This window comes from Homo sapiens, chromosome 14 (genome assembly GCF_000001405.40).
Source record: "Homo sapiens chromosome 14, GRCh38.p14 Primary Assembly".
NCBI classification, from domain to species: domain Eukaryota; kingdom Metazoa; phylum Chordata; class Mammalia; order Primates; family Hominidae; genus Homo; species Homo sapiens.
In genome coordinates this window covers 29,633,289-29,658,021 of record NC_000014.9, presented here as the reverse complement: position 1 = coordinate 29,658,021, position 24,733 = coordinate 29,633,289, and the positions used below count along the sequence as shown (strand labels likewise).

Sequence of the window (24,733 nt, the reverse complement as noted above, 5' to 3'; positions counted from 1 at the left end):
TGCAAACAAAGTTGTAATTTTTCCCTGAAACTCATGTTTGGTTCTTTTCAAATGAGTGGTTGTTGCCCTTGAGCTCTGCACATGCTTTATGTCAATCCAGAAATGTGGCAGGTTTTTTCTTTTTTTTGTTTGTTTGTTTTGTTTTGTTTTGTTTTGAGATGGAATCTTGCTCTGTCACACAGGCTGGAGTGCAGTGGCGCGATCTTGGCTCACTGCAAGCTCCGCCTTCCGGGTTCACGCCGTTCTCCTGCCTCAGCCTCCGGAGTAGCTGGGACTACTGGCGCCCGCCACCACGCCCGGCTAATTTTTTGTATTTTTTAATAGAGACGGGGTTTCACCGTGTTAGCCAGGATGGTCTCAATCTCCTGACCTCTTGATCCCCCTGCCTCGGCCTCCCAAAGTGCTGGCATTACAGCCGTGAGCCACTGCGCCCGGCCTGTAGCAGGTAATACTGGATAACCAATCAGTCTTGGTAGAACCTCAGTCCAAATGCTCATGACTTTCCAAAGTTTCTGACAAGATGGGTTAGCTGCAGATTGCAAATGAGGACTGAGGATTCAAAACAAACAGATAGTAGGATTTTTCTCAATGTGAGGTCTTTTATTCAACACTGCAAAAAAATCACATTTCAAAGCTCAGTCATGCATTTTTGTTAAGAAAAAGAGTGAACTATATTGTAGTTTTGATTTGGTTTCTAGTTATCAGATAGAGCTGCCCCCCAAAAGCTTGAGAGAACAGAGATGAAAAAGAACATATTCAATATAAATTACCAGTTAAGTGTTATCTACTTAATTAAGCTCTGTCATATTTTTCATTGATACTACCTCTTGTCTTTTAAAAAATCATTAAGAGTAACCTTACTGCTTTTGAATTATATTTCAACCTTGAACGGAATCAGATAGAAAATAATAATATGCAACAAAGATTCTAAAATGAGCAAAGAATACATTGTAGGCATGTTTTTCTCCTTAAAACTCTAACCCGCTATTGGACTTTCTAGGTTTGGAAACCACTGACTGCTACTGATTATTCATTAGCTTATTCTTGCTTGCAAGCAGATAACAACTTTGTATCATTTGATTACTTTGATGACCTTTTTCTTTCTTTTCCCATTGAGAATATGAATTATTGTGAAGAAAATCTAATCTTTCACTTAAAGGTCAAAAACGCTTCATTTTGACTATAATTTATTTTCAATGAGGTGAAAGAACCATCGTTCATCACTGAGACCATGACAAGTAGAGCTGTTTTTTTTAACATCTAGCGACTCACAATTATTTTTGCAATTTTTACTTAGTGTCTATAGTTCCATTTAAATATTAAATGTAGTTTGCAACTCAGATATCTCTGTAGTTATAAAGACTGTTTAGTATAACATTTTGCTTTTTTTTGAAAGCATGCCTATATGAAACATTATTGAGTAATGTGCTTTGCTTCCATCCAATAACGTTGTTTTCCTGTCTTTTTCTCCTTTGATTCTGCACCTTTGCCTGCTTTTTGCTCTTACAACTTCATGTTTCAGTCTCCTGTGAGTCCTGGCTTTGAGGTAGGTACTAATGCTACCTGGTGCTAGAAATTTGCTTCACTGTCTTTTTCAAACCAGCATATTACGCTGACATCAGACAATTGTCTGTACTGACTTTATGAGAATAATCAGGTCAGAGTTTAGCTCAAAATTCAACACATTGACCCACAGAAAGCCCTCAGGTTTTCCTTGCTTTTGTCCTGTTATGTTTAACTTTTCACAGTCCCAATAAGCCAAAAAGCAATGAAGTCATTAGAGTAATAGAATTAGGTTTTTCAGGTCAGATTTTGCCCTGTGATTGCTTGATTTCATAACATTGGTGTTTTGTTTTGTTTTTTAATGAAACTGAGCAGACATATTGAGAATGAAGAATACATCAGCCCTCACTTATGTGATGCTATGTTAAATGAATCTTATGCACATTGGAACTATGTCCTGATCCCAGGTACCACAGAGGCATGCAAAGTGAGGACACCATCCCAGTATACTGCCTAAAGATGGCTGTAACTGCTTGTTTACAGTTCCTGAACTTACCTTTTCTTTTTTTTTCTTTTTTTAATATATATATATATTTTTTATTATACTTTAAGTTCTAGGGTACGTGTGTCATGTTAGGGTGCTGCACCCATGAACTTACCTTTTCAATAAAGGATCTTTCCATCCTTTTGTGTTATCACAATCTATTAATTATTTTTTAAAAATGGTATACAAATGGAAATGTCAGTCTCTCAATCCAGACAGAAATTATATATGGAAAAAACACAAATTTCCTTTAAAAAAGGTTTTAGTTAAGCCCTCCTCCAAAATTGGCCTTTTTTCTATTTTAAGCAATGAATGATGTGAACGTGGAGGAGAAGTATTTAGGTCAAGTATTAGAGCATCCAACAATGCTCTTCTTGTGATGGTTTGTTTTGGTCAGTTGACTTGTGAATGTTTACTGTCTTTTATTTCTATACCTTGGTCAATTGAGAGTTGACATACTGTTATTTTCCCTCATGGGACTATAAATTTCAAATATTATTATTAGTATCCATTCTAAGATGGTCTTGTTACGGTAACTCTAACAAAGGAAGCTAATGAAAACACAACCAGAACATGTTCTGGGTTAATTAAGATGGATGAGTCAAGATTTCTGATTCATAAGCTACAGGATGAAGACATCTGCTTCAATAATAGTAAATTCCTATTTTTGAAAAATCATTCTTACTCAAAAAGTGTCCTACTTAGAATAAGTCCAGTGTGAAAGCTAGGTGAGTGTAATTTTTTATAGTCTTGTAAATTTGGTTTGTAATTTAAAATGCCTTCTAGACATAATTTTAAATGTGAATTAGTATCTTTCCTTTCAAATAATCCTTTGGGCATGAAGCCAAAGAAGGACAGGAAACATTTTTCACTTCCTTCTCCCACATTGCAGTCGGGAACAGATTGCATAAAGGAGGACTGAAGAGTAGTCTGATTTTCTGTGCAAGTTGTACAAATTAAAAGCAACCAGGCCTTCACAGGCTAGCTCCTGATGGAAATAAGATGTGTTTTCGGCATGAGCTGTTTTTCTTGAACTTTGTTTACGTCTAGTTTGTCAAAAAGATAACAGACTTTTCTCTTTATAAATGTCTTGGAAGAAACTGATGCATGAAATTCGACCAGAATTTCTTCAGAGAAATGTTTTAGTGACAGTTGTGCAAGTAGCAGAATGGTTATAGAAACCTGGCCATTGCTCCATGTTCAGCATGTCCTGGTCAGTTTACACTTTTATGTCTGTAACCCTGAGGTGCACAAGTATGCAAAAATAGATAAATTATCCGCCTTCATGGAGCTTGCATAGGTAAACCATATACCGACAAGTAGATATAGTATATGTCTTTGTATAAGCTTCCTGGTATTATATTACAATGAAATATATTGATTTATGTAACCAATCTGTCCTCCTGTTTCCATTTTAAATTTGAAATAATGCAAAAAATAAGCATCTCTATTTTTTGCGTATTTGTAAAAGCACTAGTAAATTCTGAATAAATATTTATTTGGCCAAGCACAGTGGCTCACACCTATAATCCTAGCATTTTAGGAGGCCGAGACAGGCAGATCACTTGAGGCCAGAAGTTCGAGACCAGCCTGGTCAACATGGTGAAACCCTGCCTCTACTAAAAACATAGAAAAATTAGCCAGGCATGGTGGCACGCACCTGTAATCCCAGCTACTCAGGAAGCTGAGGCATGAGAATTGCTTGAACCCGAGAGGCAGAGGTTGCATTGGGCCAAGATCATGCCACTGCACTCCAGCCTGGGTGATAGAATGAGACTCTGTCTCAAAAAATAATAATAAATAAAGTAAAAATAAAAATTATTTACTGAATGAGTTAGTAGATAACATTATTAGAATCCAAATAGGTTATACTGCTTTTTTAAAAAAAAAAATAGTTATTCAAAAGTGTAAAAGTTTACATTTTTAACTCTACTGAAAATAGTGTATGAGAGTTTCCATTTCCTTATACTCTTCCCAACAACAGGTGTTGTCAATATTTTAAAAGGCTTTTCCTCCCTGCTAATTTGAAATATATCTATATAAAATCTGTGCCTAACTATATATTTCTTTGTTGGAGAGAATAAAGGCTTTTCATATATTAATTGGCCATTTGTATTTCAGCCATGGTGAATTGCCTTTCTCTTTTTCCATTGAGTTGCTTATTGGTTGCTTATAGTCTTTATGTATTATGACTGTTATCCTCTATTAATCTGTGATCTGTATGTTTTTTATGTCTTTTCCCATATTGATTTTTTTCACATGGAGAAGACATATTTTCATTCATTCTCTTACTGTATAGAGACTTAACCATATAGAGACATGTTGAAAATAAATCAACATGGCCAGATTAAAGATAATATTTTTGTCAAGCAGTTGAGGAGAATGACCTTTTCTTGAGGTAAAAGAACTGAAGTCAAGGTGGAAAATGAAGCAGAATTTAAGATATTGGATGACCTGTGTGACCATAGGATATAATTGATGACACAGCATTTTTTACATTATGGATTTTTTTTAAAAAATTAAATAACTTTACTAAAGTTATCTTAAATGTTTTTAAGTGACTTTAAGGAGGTATCTACTAATTTAGCTTTGAAGTTAAGAGGCTCTACAGAGAACTTATTTTTTCTTGGAATTAAATGCTTCTAGCCTAATCTTTTTGGTTATTCTTAACATTCAGGCCACCTTACAGAAATCATTAGGAAATAAATCGCTCATTCTAAAAGCTTTCTCTGCATTTGACCATTTTATATCCTTTAATTTTATGCAATCCGGACAATATTCAGTTTAACTTTTTATGTGAGGTTGCATATTTTCTAAATAACAATTGGCCATAAACTGCTATTATTTTCATACAGGTTTACTGACTCACATGTAATGAAGACACGGATTGTACTAAAATGAGCTCTAGGCTGCATACGTTCATAGAACATCTCCCCTCAGAAATGATTCATTTAGTTACTGTTTTCATTTATTTAAAAAATGAAAACGAGAATACCAGCATTGTATTTTCTATCTATAATTAGATATGATCCTGATACATTTTATAATAGTCAAAGTAGTTTCTTTTCAAATAAGCAAATAATGGACAAAAAGCTATTTCTTAACTATGATGATACTTACTGCCCAGATGAACATTTGCCAGGATATTTTTCAATGCAGCAAAAGTCTATTTAGAAGTAGAGACTTAACTCTTGTGTTCTGGAATTCCAGGAATCCTGGTGATTTCTCTGAAATAAAAAGTCATTTTTCCATTTAAATATGCACCATGACACTCATGTAGTACATTTGCCAGAAATTGCAGGTTTTCCTTTGATGATTCTACAAACTAGTTTTTCAAATTCAAACCTGGGCAGTGTGTACTTTCAGTGAGGAAAGATGTCCAAAAATTTTTTAACCAGAACTTCCCTGCTTCCTGAGACTATGTGCAGTAGTGAGTTTCTGGGGAAAGTGTCCTTCAGTAAAATTAATAAGATTGTGAGGCCTGCTTTGAGTTACTGTTATCTGATTTCATTCCACAAGTCTGGCTTATCATATATGTCCATTCTTAATTCATGCTCTGAACAAAACCTTGCAGATATGTGATTGTAAATGTGAATACTACTGGAGAGTTCTTCATGAACCCTGCTGGGAGGGGGTGGCATCATATACCAATTGCCTCACACTTACTAATATATAGGTCTTAAAAACAATCGGATTTTTAGTAACAGCTCTGAAAATCCCGTGCAACTCTCAGGCAAGGTACCGTGACCTCCACAGCACTCCTGACAAGACACAAAACAGAGCCTTCCACTGTTAGGAATTGCAGGCATTTACTTGTGGGCATCTGCGTCCATCTAATATTCTAGGCTGGGATAGATTTAAGTTTCTGCTCCCTTAATTACCGACTGCTCATAACTTCTGAACTGCTACCTGAGAAATATGAAAAAAAGGGCCAGGCACGGTGGTTCACGCCTATAATCCCAACACTTTGGGAGGCCAAGGCGGGTGGATCACCTGAGGTCAGGAGTTCGAGACCAGCCTGGCCAACGTGGTGAAACCCCATCTCTACTAAAAACACAAAAAATTAGCTGGGCATGGTGGTGCATGCCTGTAATCCCAGCTAGTTGGAAGGCTGAGGTAGGAGTATCACTTGAACCTGGGAGGTGGAGGTTGCAGTGAGCAGAGATCACAGCCATTGCACTCTAGACTGCACAACAAGAACAAAACTCGGTCTCAAAAATAAATACATAAATAATAAATAAAAAATATGAAAAAAAGGTTACTTATGTTCACTTCAACAGTTTATATGTCCTCATGAATGTGGCTACCCAGGAAAAAAAAAAAAGAAAGATTTCTATAGAAGAAATAATAATGAGAAGGAGAGAGGAGAGTAGAAGATTGGAATTGGTACTATAAATTAGACTTCTAGAAACTAGAGAAAATTCAGCCTCTAAAATATTTGTGTCTTTTCAAATATTTAGATACATTATTTTACTGAACCCCTTAGACATGGTATTCTGATACTTGATTTAATCTAATCAGATGAATTCCTTCTTGCCTTCTCAAAAAGAGTGATGATGTTGCCATTTTAATAATAAATATAGTGAAATGTAAGATGAGACAATGTCAGGGAGTTATGAACAAATATGCCTCTTTCTCTAAATAGCCCAGTTTTTAGTGGTATCTATTTTTGTGTAGCCATGCACTGAAAATATCACTTGAGTGATATAATTTCATTGAGTGAGTGCTTTTCTGTATTTTTAAAACCCAAAGCTCTTTTAGGGGTGTGGGATAGATAGAGGAGAAAAGTCTCTTATCTTTTGTCTCTTTCTCTTTTGTAATTAAGTTGCATTAAAATCTAGTCTTTGGTCTTACCACGTTGTTTCAGAAGCACATGAGCGTGTACACACAGACACACACAGCGCTACATGTTTGACATTGAGTATTATGGGCTAGGATTCTATAATGTACTATTGAAGTAGAAAAATTAAAGAATTGATTGTCCTTATGAAATAGAAAAAATAATAAAAAGTTTAGCTGTAATAGGCATTGGTGAACCCCTTGAAGTAAAAGTTAGAAAAGAATATTAACTGCTTTTCTGTAGAAACTGTAAGACACCTTATCTGTTTCCCACATATATTGTAAGGTCTCTAAGTTTCTGTTTTTCTTCTTGCTGTGCAGCTGCAAGGTCACAAAATAGATAAGCGTAAGTTACAGGACATGTTTTTCCCAAGATGTAAGCTGAATCTCAAGAATGTTACCTAATGATTAACTGCTTTAGTTCTTGCTTCTGTAAGCCTGATTCCTGCATCAAGTAGTTCCTGCCAAAAACTGCTTAAAAGGCAACTTCTTTGTCTAGTGCTCAGTCTTTCAGGATACATGTCCACTAAGCCAGTGTACACCTTAAATAAACTCTCCTGCCCCCCCCATTCAGTCTCTCTGGTCCCTTAATTCACTGCAACATTTCTGGTGCTGAAACCCGGGACTGGAGATGGCAGATTTCTGTCTCCTTTGCCTGTGGGACTGAGGCCCCGGGACAGAGGAGACCTGGGAAACTTGGTGCCAATGGGAGAGCTTCAGCCCTGAAGGGGATAGGCCCTCCCATGTCCCGGTGCCCTTCCAGACAGTGCAACGGAACCAGTAAAGGGGATTCCTGGATGGCATCAGGAGCACTGCACAGACATCTGAACCGTGGTAAGGTTTGGGCCCTGAGGCAGGACCCATCCCTAAGGACAGAAGGGAAGCCTGATCACCTCCAGGGGAGTGACAACTAATCTGACCCAGAGGGGCTGGGGACAACAAGAGTGGCTCATTGATTTGAATGAAACTCACACCCCAACAGAGACAGGACACGAGAGTGGCTCGCTAAGTCAGCTCGGAAAAGAAAACCGGAGGTGGCGAGAGTGGCTCACCACCCCAACTAGGAAACTGGAAGTGGCGAGAGTGGCTCGCTACCCCAACCAGGAAAGGGAGCTGGAAGCAGGGAAGTGTATGAGTGTGTGTGATAAAGACTGTTCCAGAAGGAAGCAACGTGAGGAGTGACATACAGAAGGCTACAGGTCTCTTAGTAGAGGCTGTATGCTCTAAGCAAAGCGTAAGGCCAACCAGGTCTAATTGGTCTAAAAAGAAAGGAAAAGTGAATGTGCTGTGTCGTTACTGGGAGGAAATGGGAGGAAAATCGTCAAAACCCACTCCATTGGAATGTATATTAAAAAACTTTAAAAAAGGCTTTATGGGAAATCAAAAAGTCAAGTTAACCCCTCAAATGCTGAAAACCCTGTATGAATTAAAATAACCCTCTTTTAATGTTGAAGGGCCAGCCAAAGGCGCTATAAATAAAAACAAAAAACAATTAGCCATGTATTTAAGGTAATAACCAAAGTCAAAAAACAGTCTAGACATTCAAACCAAATTTCCTTTTATTAACTCATAGCTAAATACAGCCCTGTTTAACAGCTTATTACAAACTCTCGCAGCTCGAGCCAAAAAAAAATCAACTACACTAGCAACTACAAACACAAAGTAAAAACTTCACCAGTAAACACAAAATTAAAAAAAAAAAATTAGAAAAACTTGTAACAAAAACCAAACCACAAATAAAAACTTCATCAGCAAACACAGAGACAAAAGGAAAGCCACAGGAAAAACTGGTTTTGCAAGAACCACTGGAGGGAATAAAGACCCCTCCTCCTTACAATCCAATTTATCCCCCTTTACCAAGGCTACCTGCCTCTAAAAAGTAAAGCTCAAATAAATACACGCCTCCAGTATCACCTGTGAAAAAACAATCAAAACTGCAAGAAATTAAAATAAATGGCTAAAAAAATCAGGCAGGCCATCTCAAGTCTGGCCATGCCAGAGTCATACAAAACTCAAGGAACAAAAGGACCCCCACTGGGACCCAAATAAGGCAGCCCAACTACAGCAGCTGCAGAGATACCAAAAGATACCCCTGTGAAGTTTTAAAAATGGCAAAAATAAAAGCAATCAATATAAAAAAAATCTCAAAGGTGCTTCAGGGTGCAGATAAAAGCCCCAGCCAGGCCGGGCATGGTGGCTCACGCCTGTAATCCCAGCACTTTGGGAGGCCAAGGCGGGCGGATCACGAGGTCAGGAAATCGAGACCATCCTGGCTAACACGGTGAAACCCCGTCTCTACTAAAAATACAAAAAATTAGCTGGGCATGGTGGTGAGTGCCTGTAGTCCCAGCTACTCAGGAGGCTGAGGTAGGAGAATGGCATGAACCCAGGAGGCAGAGCTGGCAGTGAGCCGAGATCGCACCACTGCACTCTAGCCTGGGCAACAGAGCGAGACTCCCTGTCAAAAAAACAGAAGCCCCAGCCAGTTTTATAAAAGACTTTGTGAGGCCAGCACATGGTAAACACAGCATTTATAAGGCAGGCCCAGGGAAAATGGCTAAACTTGCTCATGTCCCAGTTCAAACCTGGAAAAAATAGTCCCCAGATTCACTTTTTAGTGAATGGTTGTCATCTTTCAATAATTTAAAGACTCTAATAAAAAGCTTTATAGTTAAAAGATGTCTAATTCTCCCTTGCCTCCTGCCTCTATTAATCAAAAGTATCCAGTCAACTGTAGAGGCAATGGTAACAAAGCATACTACTACTCAAATCATGGCCTTAACCAAGTACCAGGCCTTGCCTCAAAAAAAATGTGTAGCCACTCAAAAAAAAAAAAAAATTGTGGTGCTCTTTATTAAACATCATTTATACAGAGCACCAAAGGGGGGATTGAAGTAGAAAAGTTAAAGAATTGATTGTCCTTGTGAAATAGAAAAAAATCATAAAAGTTTAGCTGTAAGGCATTGGTGAACCCCCTTGAAGTAAAAGTTAAAAAAGAATGTTAACTGCCTTTCTGTAGAAACTGTAAGACATTAATTAACCTTATCTCTTTCCCACATATTTTGTAAGGTCTCTAAGTTTCTGTTTTTCTTCTTGCTGTGCAGCTGCAGGGTCACAAAATAGATGAGCATAAGTTATAGGACATGTTTTTCCCAAGATGTAAGCTGAATCTCACGAATGTTACCTAATGATTAACTGCTTTTGTTCTGGCTTCTGTAAGCCTGATTCCTGCAACACTTAGTTCCCACCATAAACTGCTTAAAAGGCATCTGTTTTCTTTGTCCGGTGCTCAGTCTTTCAGGACACGTCTGCTAAGCCAGTGTACACCTTAAATTAACTCTCCTGCACCCCTATTTGGTCTCTCCGGCCCCTTATTTCCTGCAACACTATAAAGTTATCCTTATGGGCCATTTTTGAAGGGAGAGGCTCTCACCTTTGTGGCCTAGGACTGTGTTTATGTCATACTTTCCCAGCTGCTTGGTGTCTCCAAGGCAGTAGTAATCAGTGTCACAGTCTCTTTTCAGACTATTTCATTCAGCTTTCCAGTGAGACCATAAACCCAGGCCAGGTCCTAGTCTATTCAGGCAAGGTCAAATACTATGGGAATATTTACCTCTAAAATTACTGTCCTTGGTTTTCCCACATAATGTGTTTACCCTCCATTTCACTTTCTGACACTTAAAGTCCCAAAATGGAAGTTGTTGACATGCAGTTATTTTCTTCTTCGGTGGAAATGTACATGTAATTTGCAACAATTTTTGAACAGTTCTGGTGCTTTCCCTGCAATGGGTAGATCACTTAAGAAAATATCACGGTTCCTTTACCCTTCATTTTGGTTTACTTGAAAATAGTGAGGCAATATAAAAGTTAATGTAACTTCCACGATTACTTTAGCACTCAGCAAATCCAGATCACCTTGTATTTTAGTAAGAGATTATATATGTTATTACTTTGAAAGCTTTCACAAATTGCTGTAAACATTTAAGAAATGGATTCTCCATGGTATAACACAGTATCTGTCACCACTAAGCAGTGGGCACATATTTTTTTTTTGCTTGCCCTGTAGCCACCGTTTCACTGTTGTGAAAAGGTGTTGATTAGATTTTATTTATGCTATATATTTAGGATATTTGACAGTTAGCTCAAGGAATAGAGAATCTGAATACCACCAAACAACCTGAAACTCAGCAAACACCCTACTCTCTACTGCCTGAATTATAGAGCCTGGAAACATGTGCGTTCCTATATGAACTCCATTTCTCAAGGGTTTTCATATTTTTCTGTTGTCAAAGAGCTCTGTGCTGGAAAATCCCCACTCCTGTGTGAGAGGTAATATATTCATGTAGTGTTGTTGCAGATGACTGTGTGGGTTTTTTTTTTTTTCGTTTTTTGTTTGTTTGTTTTTTGCTTCAGAAAGTAGCCTCGGACTGAGCATTCACCACTGTGTTTTCCTAACAGCAGGTTAGGTCATCATCCCTAAGTGAGACAGACAGTTTCGAAATATAAAAAAGAAATCTCTGGACAGTTTGCAGATTGATAGGACTGAAGTGTCCTGAAAAAAATTTATCTATCTATCTATCTATCTATCTATCTATCTATCTAATTTTTGTGAGTACATAGTAGGCATATATATTTTTGGGTTACATGAGAAATTTTCATACAGGCATGCAGTATTTAATAGTCACATCAGGGTAAATGGGGTATCCATTCACTTTAAGGATTTATCCTTTGTGTTACAGACAATCCAATTATACTCTTCTAGTTATTTAAAAATACACAGTTAAATTATTTTTAACTGTAGTCACCCTGTTGTGATAGCAAATACTTGGTCTTATTCACTGTGCTATTTTTTTGCACCCATTAACCATCCCTCCTTCCTCCCCATCCCACACCCAAACAAAATTTTAATTACTAATAATGCACAACATAGCCATTGTATGGCAAGACTCACCTTGGCGTCTATGCAAATGTCTTTTCTTCAGGAAACCCCCTTTCTGAATTACCCCTCGCCTCCACCATGAATATGGTTTATCTTTCCTTTGAACTTTCATATATGTATATATCAGCAATTATTCTTTGTGACACGGTATTCCAGAAATTGGTGTTACAATGATGAACAAAATAATAAAGATGCTGCCCTCCTGAAACCTATATTCTGTTGAAGGGAGACAGTAAAAATCCAGTAAACAAATAAGAGGTAAATAATACAGTTGCATGCTGCTTTAATGACTTTGGAGGAGACAGGATGATGTGAGACAGTAATAGAGTAAGGAGTGGGGGTAAGCAATAAGTTAGGTGGTGAGGAGGCCTCTCAGAGAAGGGGGCATGGGAACTGAAATCTGAAGAATAAGGAGGAAACCATCTATGAAGAAAGGGAAAGAGTAAATATAAAGGTCAACAATAATAACAGTTATGCGTGTCTAGGATTCTACTGGCTAATAAACTAATTGGGCACAGAGAATTATTTCCTCATATTTATATGTCCTGAAGCATCTGAATTGAGCTTTCAGGTAAAATTTGCCCCAGGAAACACTTGCTAAATTAGATAGATCCATCTCGATGGCAATAGGAGAGAACTGTCTTAAGCTGTTACTCTGCACTGTTCTTTGAATGATAGTCCAAAATGCTAGATCTCGAAATTTCTGGAATAAAAGATTAACATTTGCTTGCATCTATTTTTGCATAGTTATGCTAGTATCTTTTAAGCATAATAACACCTGAATAGGAAAGTAGGCAGCCAACTGAGTGATGTTTATGCAATAGCAGCTGTTTATTCCACTAGTTATTGTGTTCTGGAAAACATGCATGACTCAGGTCCTATCATCTAAGCACAGACAAGCTGGTTAGAAATCTCTTCTGTAGGTCAAGGTTAAGGGGTTCATGATATCCTGCATATCATTTTTGGCACATAAAACACACTACTGTTTGATTATTCTTGTTGTCTTATTGCCTCTTATGTTGTCCTTATTGACTAACTGAGAGGAAGAAAATACTTACTGTTTTCTATATTAGCATAAAATCAAGGAATGTGAAAGCTGGGGAGGATCTAAGGAGAAAGGAATCATTGTTATCTGGAGCAAAACTACCTGAATTCGTAGTTCTGCTACTTACAAGTTGTGTGATCTTGGGAAAATGATTTAATCTCTCAGTAACTCAGTTTCTTTAGGTGTAACATGGAGGTATAAATAAATGAAATCCATGTAAAGTGCTATGAAAATAGTTGTATAAAATGTATAAATAGTTGTATAAAATGTATAGTTTATTTATACATGAGGTATAAATAAATGATATTTATGTAAAGTGCTATGAAAATAGTTGTATAAAATGTATAAATAGTTGTATAAAATGTATAGTTTATTTATACATGAGGTATAAATAAATGAAATCCATGTAAAGTGCTATGAAAATAGTTTGGCATATATAAAGGTCTTCGGCTGAACTAGATAATGATAGAAAACACTTTTTATAACCTCAAAGGTCTCCATTTCAACTAGATTTAGTCCCCAGATAAATTGACTGGCACAAAGTTTTTAAATTTTTTTTTTTTCAGTTGCTGACATCTAGATCAAGTTATTTTATCACACACCTAGATTCCCTGCTTCTTTTGAAAAACTAAAAGATCCATCAACAATGGGTTCACATGTTCACATGGCAGCTGTTAGAACTAATTGAGCTGTAGCTATCTGTTTTACAGTGACGCTGTCCTCTCCAAATTACTATAGTCTCAACCATTCCTCATTGCATCCTTGATGCTGAGGGCCACCCATTAATATGAACAGCCTATTAAGTGTTTGAGTTTGGTAGCAGAAGAGTTCTGCACAGATTTTCATGTTGAAGTAGGGGCAAGGAGCAGGCAGACAAGTACAGAGCATTTGCAGGGGAAAATATTCCTTAACCAGGTGTCCCATCTTAAAACTGAAATCCTGTAAAGCAAGTATGTCAGTGTTAACAGTTTATGTAACTTTAAATTGTAAAAATCTTTTATTACAGTCTGTATATTAAATATTTCTATTGAAACGTCTCATCCACTAATCCTATGCATTTACTTCTTGAAAACATACACTTATCTCAGGTGAAACTGCTTACTGTTTGTCACGGACTTTGTTCTTCCATAGGAGCTTATTATCAAATGATTCAGACAAATCCATAAAGAGATGTTGGCGTGTATGCTAAAGTATTCTCTTTCTCTTTCTCTTTAACTCAAAGGGAGTTTGTCTCCCCAAATCCAGACACAGTGAATTGCTGTGAAATGAATTTTAGTTAACGCACAGAAATATTTTAATAATGCACACATTTTCATTTGAGCCATTTTTTATTGTCAAGTGACTTTTATCTCAGAGAATTTTATGTTTGATTTTTTACGCAAGTGACAATAAACAAACCACAAGTAAAGGCAACTTTTCCTCTGTGTTTTCTAGCTTAACTAATGAAGAGAGTTCATTGTGAACTGCTAAGTGGAATATACCTTGTTGGGAAATTATTTCAGTCCTATTAAATGTTTAAAGACATGCTGGCAGTTGGAGTTTCCACAATGTAATCTAAGCAATCATTTCCTGGGAAGGTTGCAAACTTGCTGAGTCATTAATTTAGCACACTAGGTTAAAAAACAAATTCAGTCTCTAGAAGAGCAGGATACATTGTCTCTCTGAGTAGGTGTTCAGTGCACAGAGTTCCAGCTTTGGCAGTAATTTCAAATGAAACACTTGGTGTAAGAATGTTAAAGATGCTTTGTGAAACCACAAACTTAAAAAAATTGATCTTCATAATTTTTATTTTATTTAATTTCTATTCCTGGCTTCAAAATACAACTTTCATCATTACGTTCTCATATTATCTCCCATGCATGATGTGTTAACTCTTACACTTCTAACACAAAAAATACCTTTATGTTTGTCATCATATATAATTTGCCAAATCAAATCATTTATATGCATCTATCTCACTACCATATTTTACAGTGATGTCAATTCTTACAAAAGATCCACACCTGTAAGTTGATCCAAACTCCTCCAATTCATAGAACATATGGCTAATATAAAAATATAAAATTTTAAAAAATGCATTCTCTTATATGTGTTGCCCATAGTTATAAAAAACGAAATTTTAAATGTGCTCTTTAAGTTTTGAGCCATTTTTTTCTCTGAACATATTAATGAAGCAGAACAAAACAGACTTTCCAAAGCATTTCAACTTTCCCTCCTCTTCTCATTAAAAAAAAAAAAATCATTCTGCAGATTTTTCAGGTTCACCAAATACATGGGGCCAAATTGGAATAGAGACTAAGAGTGAAAATTAATTTAAACACCATTTAGTTAACCTAATAAACCCAGTAAAACCTTCAATAGTGTTGACGGTAAGGAAGAATTTTCACTTTATTATAGTTAGCTTTAAAGAAAGGTGTTATTTAAAACTCTAAAGTACTGTGCACATTGTAATTAAATATACAAGTAAGCCAAGAAAATGTAGTAAGTTAATGAAGAATTTGAGTTTTATTTATGTATAATAAACATACAAAGTTGTTATAACTTATAAACTTGATATATAATGAAATCTCTTTACTTTGTATAATACATTTCATGCAAACAGTTCCAATTATTTCTGTCAGCATTATGATTCGAATTGCTATCTAGTTTCCTCTTGAAATTATCTTAAAATGCAAAGATCAGTGAGTTTTTTAAAAGTATCATTTCCTTTAAAACTATTAATTTCTGAATTTTTGCCTGCTCTGTAGCTTGATATATCAAACAAAAACATACTGTAATTATGCTTTATGTTGTACATGCCTTCACATAAAACTTCACATAATAATTGGAATTTTATATTTTTGCTTAAAATAACAACTGATTATTAATTATTAATGACAAAATATGTCATTGATTCTGAAAATCTTTAAGTCTTAGTTTGTGATCACATCATTAGAAATACTTTTGCCGGCCAGGCGCAGTGGCTCATGCCTGTAATCCCAGCACTTTGGGAGGCTCGAGGCAGGTGGATCACCTGAGGTCAGGAGTTCGAGACCAGCCTGACGAACATGGAGAAACCCTGTCTCTACTAAAAATACAAAATTAGCCGGGCGTGGTGGCACATGCCTATAATCCCAGCTACTTGGGAGGCTGAGGCAGGAGAATCATTTGAACCTGGGAGGCAGCGGCTGCAGTGAGCCGAGAATGCCCCATTGCACTGCAGCCTGGGCAACAAGAGCGAAACTCCATCTCAAAAAAAAAAAAAAAAAAAAAAGAAATATTTTTAAAGGGATGATGGCAGGATTACAGAAAGGGTGGTTCTTAAACATTTAGGTAAATATTGATAAATATAGATAAATATATATTACAGGGTCATGGCCTTATTCCATAGCCAGTTGGTGTTTTTAATAATCTGTTATGTATCAACAAAGTCCTTGTTTTACATTTTTGATTGAAGGAAGGATAAAAACCCTATAAGCGCTTAGGGACTCATCAGATAATGACCCAGTCTTACTTTTTTGTTTTCACACTTCAGATTTGCCTCATGTTAGGGAAAGCACATGCAAATGTGTGTGTATACACTCCCAGAAACATAGAATTGAATACTGAAAACAGAACTTCAGTCAGCTTCTCCACTCTCGCTTTCCCAAGGTGTTCATTATCTAGTACAATTAAACAACTCAAACAGTCTCCTTCCAGCAGTAAATCAATTTCTACAAAATACGTTACTATGCATGCACCCTGTGTCAAGATTGTAAAGCTTTACTTTTTCATTTAGAAATATGGGCCATATTGAAAATAATGACATATTTCAGACTGTAAGAAAAGGTAGTGATAAGTCTGGTTGGATTGCTATCTGATTTTGAAATTTAAAATGGCATGAATGGTATGAGGGCACTCTTTATTAATGCTATTAAAATCTTAATTTCTGACACTATAAATTACATAGTTGACACTATAAATTACATATTCTGTGCCAAGGACACATGTGGCTGGCTGTGTAAATCTCATTATTGCCTGAAAATGTGTGTGGTATAGTCTCTGGGCTACAGAGTGACAGCTAATTTCTTTTTCCTAAACTTGGAATATTTTTAAATTTCTTACATAATCTTGCCCTTGAAGGTAATAAATGAAATAACCTCTCAAAAATAATTATAGTTCTTGTAGTTTATGGCAGTGTTTGTGTTGGATGAAAAGAAAATATTCAGTTTACTAGATTCCCTCTTGCTTTTCTAATGAATTTGCACCATGGTATAGTAAATGTCAAACTGGCTCTGTTAGCACAGCCTACAATTAGGTATCTTAAATTAAGGAATGTAACTGAACAGTGATTTGTCCAGCTTTTCATAGGATTTCCCAAATCTGAGAACATGTTAAATCTGCTAACAAAGTGTGACATCAGGTTATCTTTTATTCTGAGTGTTAAAAGTTTTCAACTATGGAAAAATATTTTCATTTTAGTCTATGCTTAAAACAGGCCCATTGGCTACAGTTACTAGAGGACACTGGAACAGGGAGTTTACCCTGTGGATTTAATTATTCTTTAATTCCATTGAAAGTATTTATTCAATATATTCATGATTCTGGTTTGGCAAACCTTTGGCTATTTTTATAATCTCCCTAGACTTATCTGCAAGAGTTGAACCTTTCCAGAATAATTATGCTTTACAGTTTTTCTTTATGGAATTGTAATTGTGAATGTAACTGTAGGCCTAATATTCCTGTGTAGAACTTCATTTTAAGTTTCTTTTTACTGTAGCTAGTGAATCTGGAAATAATAGTTTTCACTTTTGGTAATAGTATTTAACCTTTTGGTACAGATAGGGATTGAAAAGGATAGAAATTTTTTGTAAATGTGATTTATTGCTGTCTTATCAGTAATCATTTAAAATTAGAAATTAACTGAGTATGGTGATAAAACAAGGGCTCTGGAGGCAAACAAATGTAGGTTCACATTTTGGCTGCACTATTTACTAGCATTTGACCCAGGGGTATGTATTTAAACTTTATGAGCTTAGATGCCTCAACTGTAGGTAATAAGGCCTGTCTTTTAAGGCACCTAATACAGTTATTGCTCTAGAGTAGGAACTTAATAACTAAGATATATAAATGAGATACATAATTATAACAACGGTTCAAAAGTAATTCAGTTTATCTTATTCTGATGATTCTAAAATACATTTATTCTGACGATTCTCAAATATATCCCAGGATATCAAAGGTACTGTGAAATTATCCAAAAACATAGAAAACATGGTTAATTTTAGTTAATTTAATTTTTAAAAATCTATATACTGGGCTGATTAAATAATTCTAAAATGATGGGCAAGAGTACACAGAGATAAAATTACATCCAAAACATCCACTTTTATATTCCTCTTATAGTATATTCGTTCTGTTTCCAGTAATACAAATCTTTTATTGTATGGCTGAGGAAAAATGTAAAATCATATTTATTTTTTTCTTTAGGTAATCCAAAGGAACTGTAAGGCATTTTTTTCTTTCTTTCTTTCTTTTTCTTTTTCTTTTATTATTTATTTATTTATTTTTTTTGAGATGGAGTTTCACTCTTGTTACCCAGGCTGTAGTGCAGTGGCACGATATTGGCTCACCACAACCTCTGTCTCCCAGGTTCAAGCAATTCTCCTGCTTCAGCATACCGAGTAGCTGGGATTACAGGCGAGCACCACCACACCCAGCTAATTTTTGTATTTTTAGTAGAGACGGGTTTCACCATGTTAGCCAGGCTGGTCTTGAACTCCTGACACCAAATGATCCACCCGCCTTGGCCTCCCAAAGTGCTGGGATTACAGCATTTTTTCGATGAAGTACCATGTAGGGCAAACAGGAGGCATTTACTTTTCATTTTCTGTCTTTCATAAATGCTTGCATTTTCTAACCATGTGAATGTAATCCTGTAAAAAATGTCAATGATATAATATTTGCACTGTTTATTTGACTCCAACTTTATATTTCTGTATTAAAACCACTTTTTTAAAGCAAAAACTTATTTGAAAGACCTAGAAATCATGTTTAAACATTCTGATCTCCAATTCTCTTTTTTTTTTAAGATTATACAAGCAAGGTAACTCAAATAGAAATGGGGAAGGCAAGTAAATTATATTAATTAACAGAAATACAGTATGATTTCATATTATTAAACATCAAAGTACTAAATACAAGAGTAAACCGGTATCTTAAAATATATAAATATATAAATCAAATAGCCTCTTACATCTTGCTTCCTTTATTGTTTTCCAAAATGTAGCAAAAATCACCATCAGAGTCGTTTATTGGTCGAGAGAAGAGGTCAAATTCTCAATCATACATTGGACGACCAATTCACCTTGACAAGATTTTGATGTCTAAAGTTAAAGTGCCGCACACATTTGTCATCCACTCCTACACCCGGCCCACAGTGTGCCAGTACTGCAAGAAGCTTCTGAAGGGGCTTTTCAGGCAGGGCTTGCAGTGCAAAGGTAAGGATGATTTTGTCACCTGTCGAACTTTGATCACCCTCATTCATCTGACATAAGTATTTTCTGGTTACCACTTTTCTTTATGACAAATTCTCATTTTGTTTTGTTTGAAAATCACTGGGATTAGATTGCAGATTCAACTGCCATAAACGTTGTGCACCGAAAGTACCAAACAACTGCCTTGGCGAAGTGACCATTAATGGAGGTAGGTAAAAGATCAGCTGTCATGTCTGTGCTTCTTCCATATTAGAGAGTGTGGTGATGTAATTTTAGTCAGGGTTTTTGGTTTTGGTTTTGGTTCAGATATTTCAGACACAGTCTAAAGTAAATTATGGCCAGTGTTTGTTCTACTTTACAATAGAAAAGCATCCATGGAGTTTTGATAACAGTCAAAGACCCTTTCATGATCTTTACATGGTGAGCAGCTAGTATTGAAAACTTGGGTAGCCATAATTTATTTCCCAGTTTTATTATCTTATATTCTTATCCTAGTTTGCCCAGAAATGTGGATGTTGTTGGGCTGCCTACAAGTTATAGCTCTCAGTCTCTTTTCCTCTGTCCTTCTCATTTCAATCATCTTTAATAATAAAAGGAACTTTGTCAGCCAAAAAAAAATAGATGTATTTTCTGTATTTGGCAATATTCCTTCAAGAAAACTCTAACTGTATAAATTAACTTCGAAGGACTGCTAAGAAAAATGCCATATCTTAAGCAAAGAGCTTACATTTTCTTCTTGGGTAGCATTCTAATGGATCACTACCAAAATATTTGACTTAGAATCCCAGGTTAGCTTTTTCTGCAGATAGTGGTCTTTATACCTTTAGCCTGATACCAGTTTTCCAATTCCTCTGGAAAGGAAAATGGCTGTAAAAGATCACAGATACTTTCAGTTGAATATTTTTGTTGCTAAGAAGCTGAAGAATGACTATCTTTGCTCTAGAACTTTCTTCTCTAGAAGAAATATATACTGTACCTAAAAGAAGAAGAAGGAAGAGCTCTCCAGGAAAACATTGTCACACTTGTTTCTGGCTTGGAGATTCATGAATTAGCTGCCAAAATTGAAAGCTTGGCGATCGTCCCACTTTCTGTGGCATGTGGTGTTGACTTTGTTCAGGCTCAGGGAATGTCAGTGTGTACTGGATAACTATAACTAAGGGGATACAGAACAGTTTTTGATGTTGTTGATTACTTTGAAATTCTATTTTCTTATACATTCAGAAAAATCTGGTAAAATGTGAATTTTCCAAGCTTGGCAGGCTAGAGTCTCTCATTAATCTGTATTTTCATTTTAAAATGAGTACTTTGCATTAGTAAGTAATTTTAATTTTTGCCATTACCATCAACTGTATAATGACAGGTTCAATATTACTTCAAATATCAAATGTCTTATTTAAAAGCTGCAGCTATGTGACCAATTTAATATATTGGAATTCGTGATTTTCAAAGTTACTCCAATAGTAAGAATCAGTGGCTTGAATCTTTTTTCATGTGAAAATTTCTGTCATCCTCTTACATACTTTTTTTTCCCACCAGGGCTGTGCTTCTAAAATATGAGCAGCTTCCCAGTCACTTGGGCCTGGTATCACTTTGCCTTCTAGCATTTTACTTCTATCCCAGCTTTGGCTTCCTTCCAAGGTTTTTCATGACTTTTCATGTTTTCAGGCTTGGGAAAACGGAAAACGAGCATCTACCTATAAAATTACATGTTCAACCTCTCATAAACTCAGATGCATATAAACTGAAATAAAAAAGGAAATTGAAAATCATGGAAGGATCTGGAGGCCATTATCTTTAGCAAACTAACACAGGAACAGAAAAGCAAATACCACATGTTCTCACTTATAAGTGGGAGGTAAATGATGAGAACACATGGTCACATAGTGGGGAATAACACATACGGGGTCCCTTCAAGGTTGGAGGGTGGGAGGATCAGGAAAAATAACTAATGGGTACCAGGCTTAATACCTGGGTGATGAAATAATCTGTACAACAAACCCCCATGACACAAGTTTACCTATGTAATAAACCTGCACATATACTCCTAAACTTAAAATAAAAGTTAAAAAATAAAAAATAAACTCATCACAGAACTACCTCTTTGGGGCTTCCAATTGATTTGTTTTAGGATCACCTGACTGTCTCTTAAGCCCTGGCTCCAAGATTCCAGGCTTATCTTCATGGGTGAAAATAATTTTCTAGATTTGCTTAGCCCTGGGGCAGAGTCTGATGTGGTCATGGAAGAAGGGAGTGATGACAATGATAGTGAAAGGAACAGTGGGCTCATGGATGATATGGAAGAAGCAATGGTCCAAGATGCAGAGATGGCAATGGCAGAGTGCCAGAACGACAGTGGCGAGATGCAAGATCCAGACCCAGACCACGAGGACGCCAACAGAACCATCAGGTGAGAGCAGCACTCCCAGCCTCAGCCAACAGGGGAACCCCAGGCAGTATTTTCTCTTTAAACCTCTTTGATATTTTAATAGATTATAGTAGAAATGTGAAGTGCACGTTTACTTTTATATGAATGAACTGCGTGCTGTAAATGAGAGCCTTTGAAGTTAGGAGGTCTGGGTTCCCTGGGAGAAGTGTGGTTGCCATTCTTTCCCAGCATCACCTCATTCATTGAACTATTTTTTTTTTTTTTTTGCATGTGAGAGATGCTCATGTTTGCCATCCACAAGTTTATTACTAAGTTAATATTAATTTGAAGCTCATTGTGTAGAAACAACAAAAATCAAGATCAAACTCAGCAGAAATCATCTATTTTATTAGCTGGCCCCTGTTACAAATATCATAGTCTGTGTACACTTCACTGTTCTTGATATTATTTCAGAAGTATGTGCAATTTTATATCTGTTATTTAATTATGCTTTTGGTTACTGGATGATCCCCACTTTTTATATCAGGAGTCAGCACAATGTGGCCACCAGAGCAAATTGGACTGCTGCCCAATTTGTAGTAAAGTTTTATTGGAACATAGCCTGTCCATTCATATTGTCTGTGGCTGCTTTTGCACTATATTGGTAAAGTTAGGTCTTTTGCAAAAACTAAAATATTTATTACCTGGCCCTTTACAGAAAATGTTTCCTAGTCTCTGATTTATATTATAAAGCCTATTGAAACTTTTGTGTCCATTTTACGAATGCCATGTTTATTGACAAACAAATTGTTCATGAGAGTAGAGCAATAAAATGATTGTTTTTTTCCATTTAATGGCATAATGAACATTTTTTAAATAGTGGGAAATAATTGTCTTGTGACCTGTCTTTTGAAGACATACACTTCTTTAGTACCAAAGAGTTTGCATGGTGCCGGGGGGCAGTGGTGGGAATTACATATATATTCATGTTGTGGGAAGGGGGACAAGGAGGGAGGGATGAAGAGAGGAAGAAACAGAGACTAGCAGATTCCAATTTTTATGACATTATGCAGAGAAACTAAAAATTCATGTTGAATAATGTAATCTCTAAATGATTGATAATGTACCTATAATAGGAAATAAATAAGCAAATAAGCTTTCATGTGTGAGTCTGAATAGTGTGGCCTCAGTAGACTAAGAAGTACTCTACCTCAGGTTTACCTGAAAACTGAACACCATACAGTTCAACCCAAAATATGAGGTGCTTATTACCCAGCCTTGGGAATTTTTTTTTTTTTCAGATGGAGTCTTGCTCTGTCACCCAGGCTGGAGTGCAGTGGTACAATCTTGGCTCATTGCAACCTCTGCCTCCCGAGTTCAAGCAATTCTCTGCCTCAGCTTCCCAAGTAGCTGGGATTACAGGTGCCCGCCAACATGCCCAGCTGATTTTTTTTGTACTTTTAGTAGAGACGGGGTTTCACCATCTTGGCCAGGCTGGTCTTGAACTCCTGACCTCGTGATCCACCCGCCTCGGCCTCCCAAAGTGCTGGGATTACAGATGTGAGTCACTGCACCCGGCCAGGATTTTTTAAGGTGTACAAACAACGTGCCTATCACTCTTCAGAGTAACCCACTTTCAGAACCATGGTGCCTGACAATACGTTTTACTAAACATGAGATGTGAATTTTGTAAAGTTTCACTTGGATTAGCTGACATAAGGTTTTATGCATGAAAATACATAAAATGTACCTGAAAACATTTTTTCCCTACAATATTTTGACTTCTCAAGTCCATCAACAAGCAACAATATCCCACTCATGAGGGTAGTGCAGTCTGTCAAACACACGAAGAGGAAAAGCAGCACAGTCATGAAAGAAGGATGGATGGTCCACTACACCAGCAAGGACACGCTGGTAAGATCCACAGGGAACAATGTTCTCTTGCCTTGCTAGCTTTAATTAGAGGAGTTGCTAATGTCCCGTGAGGACTGTGAGATTTCTGCATTACTCAGAGTAAACCTCAGCACAGGCATGACACGGGATTAGGTAAGGTGCATTACAGTCTCTGGGTGTCAGATATAGTTGAGCAAGCAACGAAGTTAGGAAAAAGTGTGGAAAGCAATTTCAGGCAAACAAATTCATTGACCTTGATTACCTGAGATGTCTACCTGCCATTTTATAGCACTTGTGGAAGCCACAGTATGTGCTTTCAGAATGCTTCACTGCAATTTAGAATTTTATAGGAAACACTGCATTCTAGGCAGAGAATAAAACAGTGATAACTATCTTATACTTCGTAAGTCCTTAACTAAGTTTTCCCTGAAGAACTGACCCATTCAGGAACATTGGAATCCTGTACCCTGAGATTTTCTTAATAGTTGAGGAATGAGGTTGTGTACGTACGTAAGAGAGAACAACTTGATTCACGTTTCAAAGTTAAGTTGACAATTGACTGATTTCTGTTACTGTATTGCTTTTCTCATCTCTTACCTATAGGATCACTACAGATAAGCAGACACCTATAACCTAATTGATCTATCTATAATTTCGACCATCTGTGTTAGAGAGAGAAGACCTACCTGATATTATAGGACTCAATTGAATACCGCCTAGTTCTTTTTAGACATGGTGTAATATATTTAATATATTTGACTGGCCTAAAATTGGTTGTGGAGGAGAAGAGCGGAATCATAGAGCTTTGGGGTCTTTTATAAGATAAAAATACACACACACCCTAAAATCCTGAAAGATATACCTACAGTGTAGAAGGACCTGTTCATCAAATCATAGTGGTTAGATCTGTAGTGAGCTGGAGAGAAGGTAGAGTTGGTTGTTTGATGCATTCCCCTGACTTTAAGTTGATGTCATGGAGTCAAACTTATTGTCCAACAAAATATTCTTTACTTCTACTCTAACATTCAGAATTTTCCCATTGCCAATGGAAGCAAGAATACCTGGCTCCATCAGCATGGGATTTCTTACGTCCTAAAATAATGAGCATGCATAATAAACATTGCATCTCCTAGTAAACCTTATTTTATTA

The 24,733-nt window shown here is 36.5% G+C and overlaps 1 protein-coding gene across 7 annotated transcripts in view; it reads left to right on the top strand.

Annotated features, from left to right (window-relative positions):
* Nucleotides 1-24,733, top strand: part of PRKD1 (protein kinase D1) — a 351,369-nt gene that overhangs the window by 269,826 nt on the left and 56,810 nt on the right. For 5 of the 7 annotated variants that reach the window (XR_943493.3, NM_001330069.2, NM_001348390.1 and 2 more), the window contains 5 exons: nt 1,523-1,546; nt 19,118-19,328; nt 19,456-19,533; nt 21,528-21,732; nt 23,481-23,604. Coding sequence is in view for 6 of the 7 variants with exons in the window: in NM_001330069.2 (NP_001316998.1) it covers nt 1,523-1,546; nt 19,118-19,328; nt 19,456-19,533; nt 21,528-21,732; nt 23,481-23,604 (642 nt within the window). In the remaining variant the exon portion in view is untranslated. The remainder of the gene's footprint in view (nt 1-1,522; nt 1,547-19,117; nt 19,329-19,455; nt 19,534-21,527; nt 21,733-23,480; nt 23,605-24,733) is intronic. The other 2 variants (NM_002742.3, XM_047431589.1) reach the window with 1 other exon arrangement.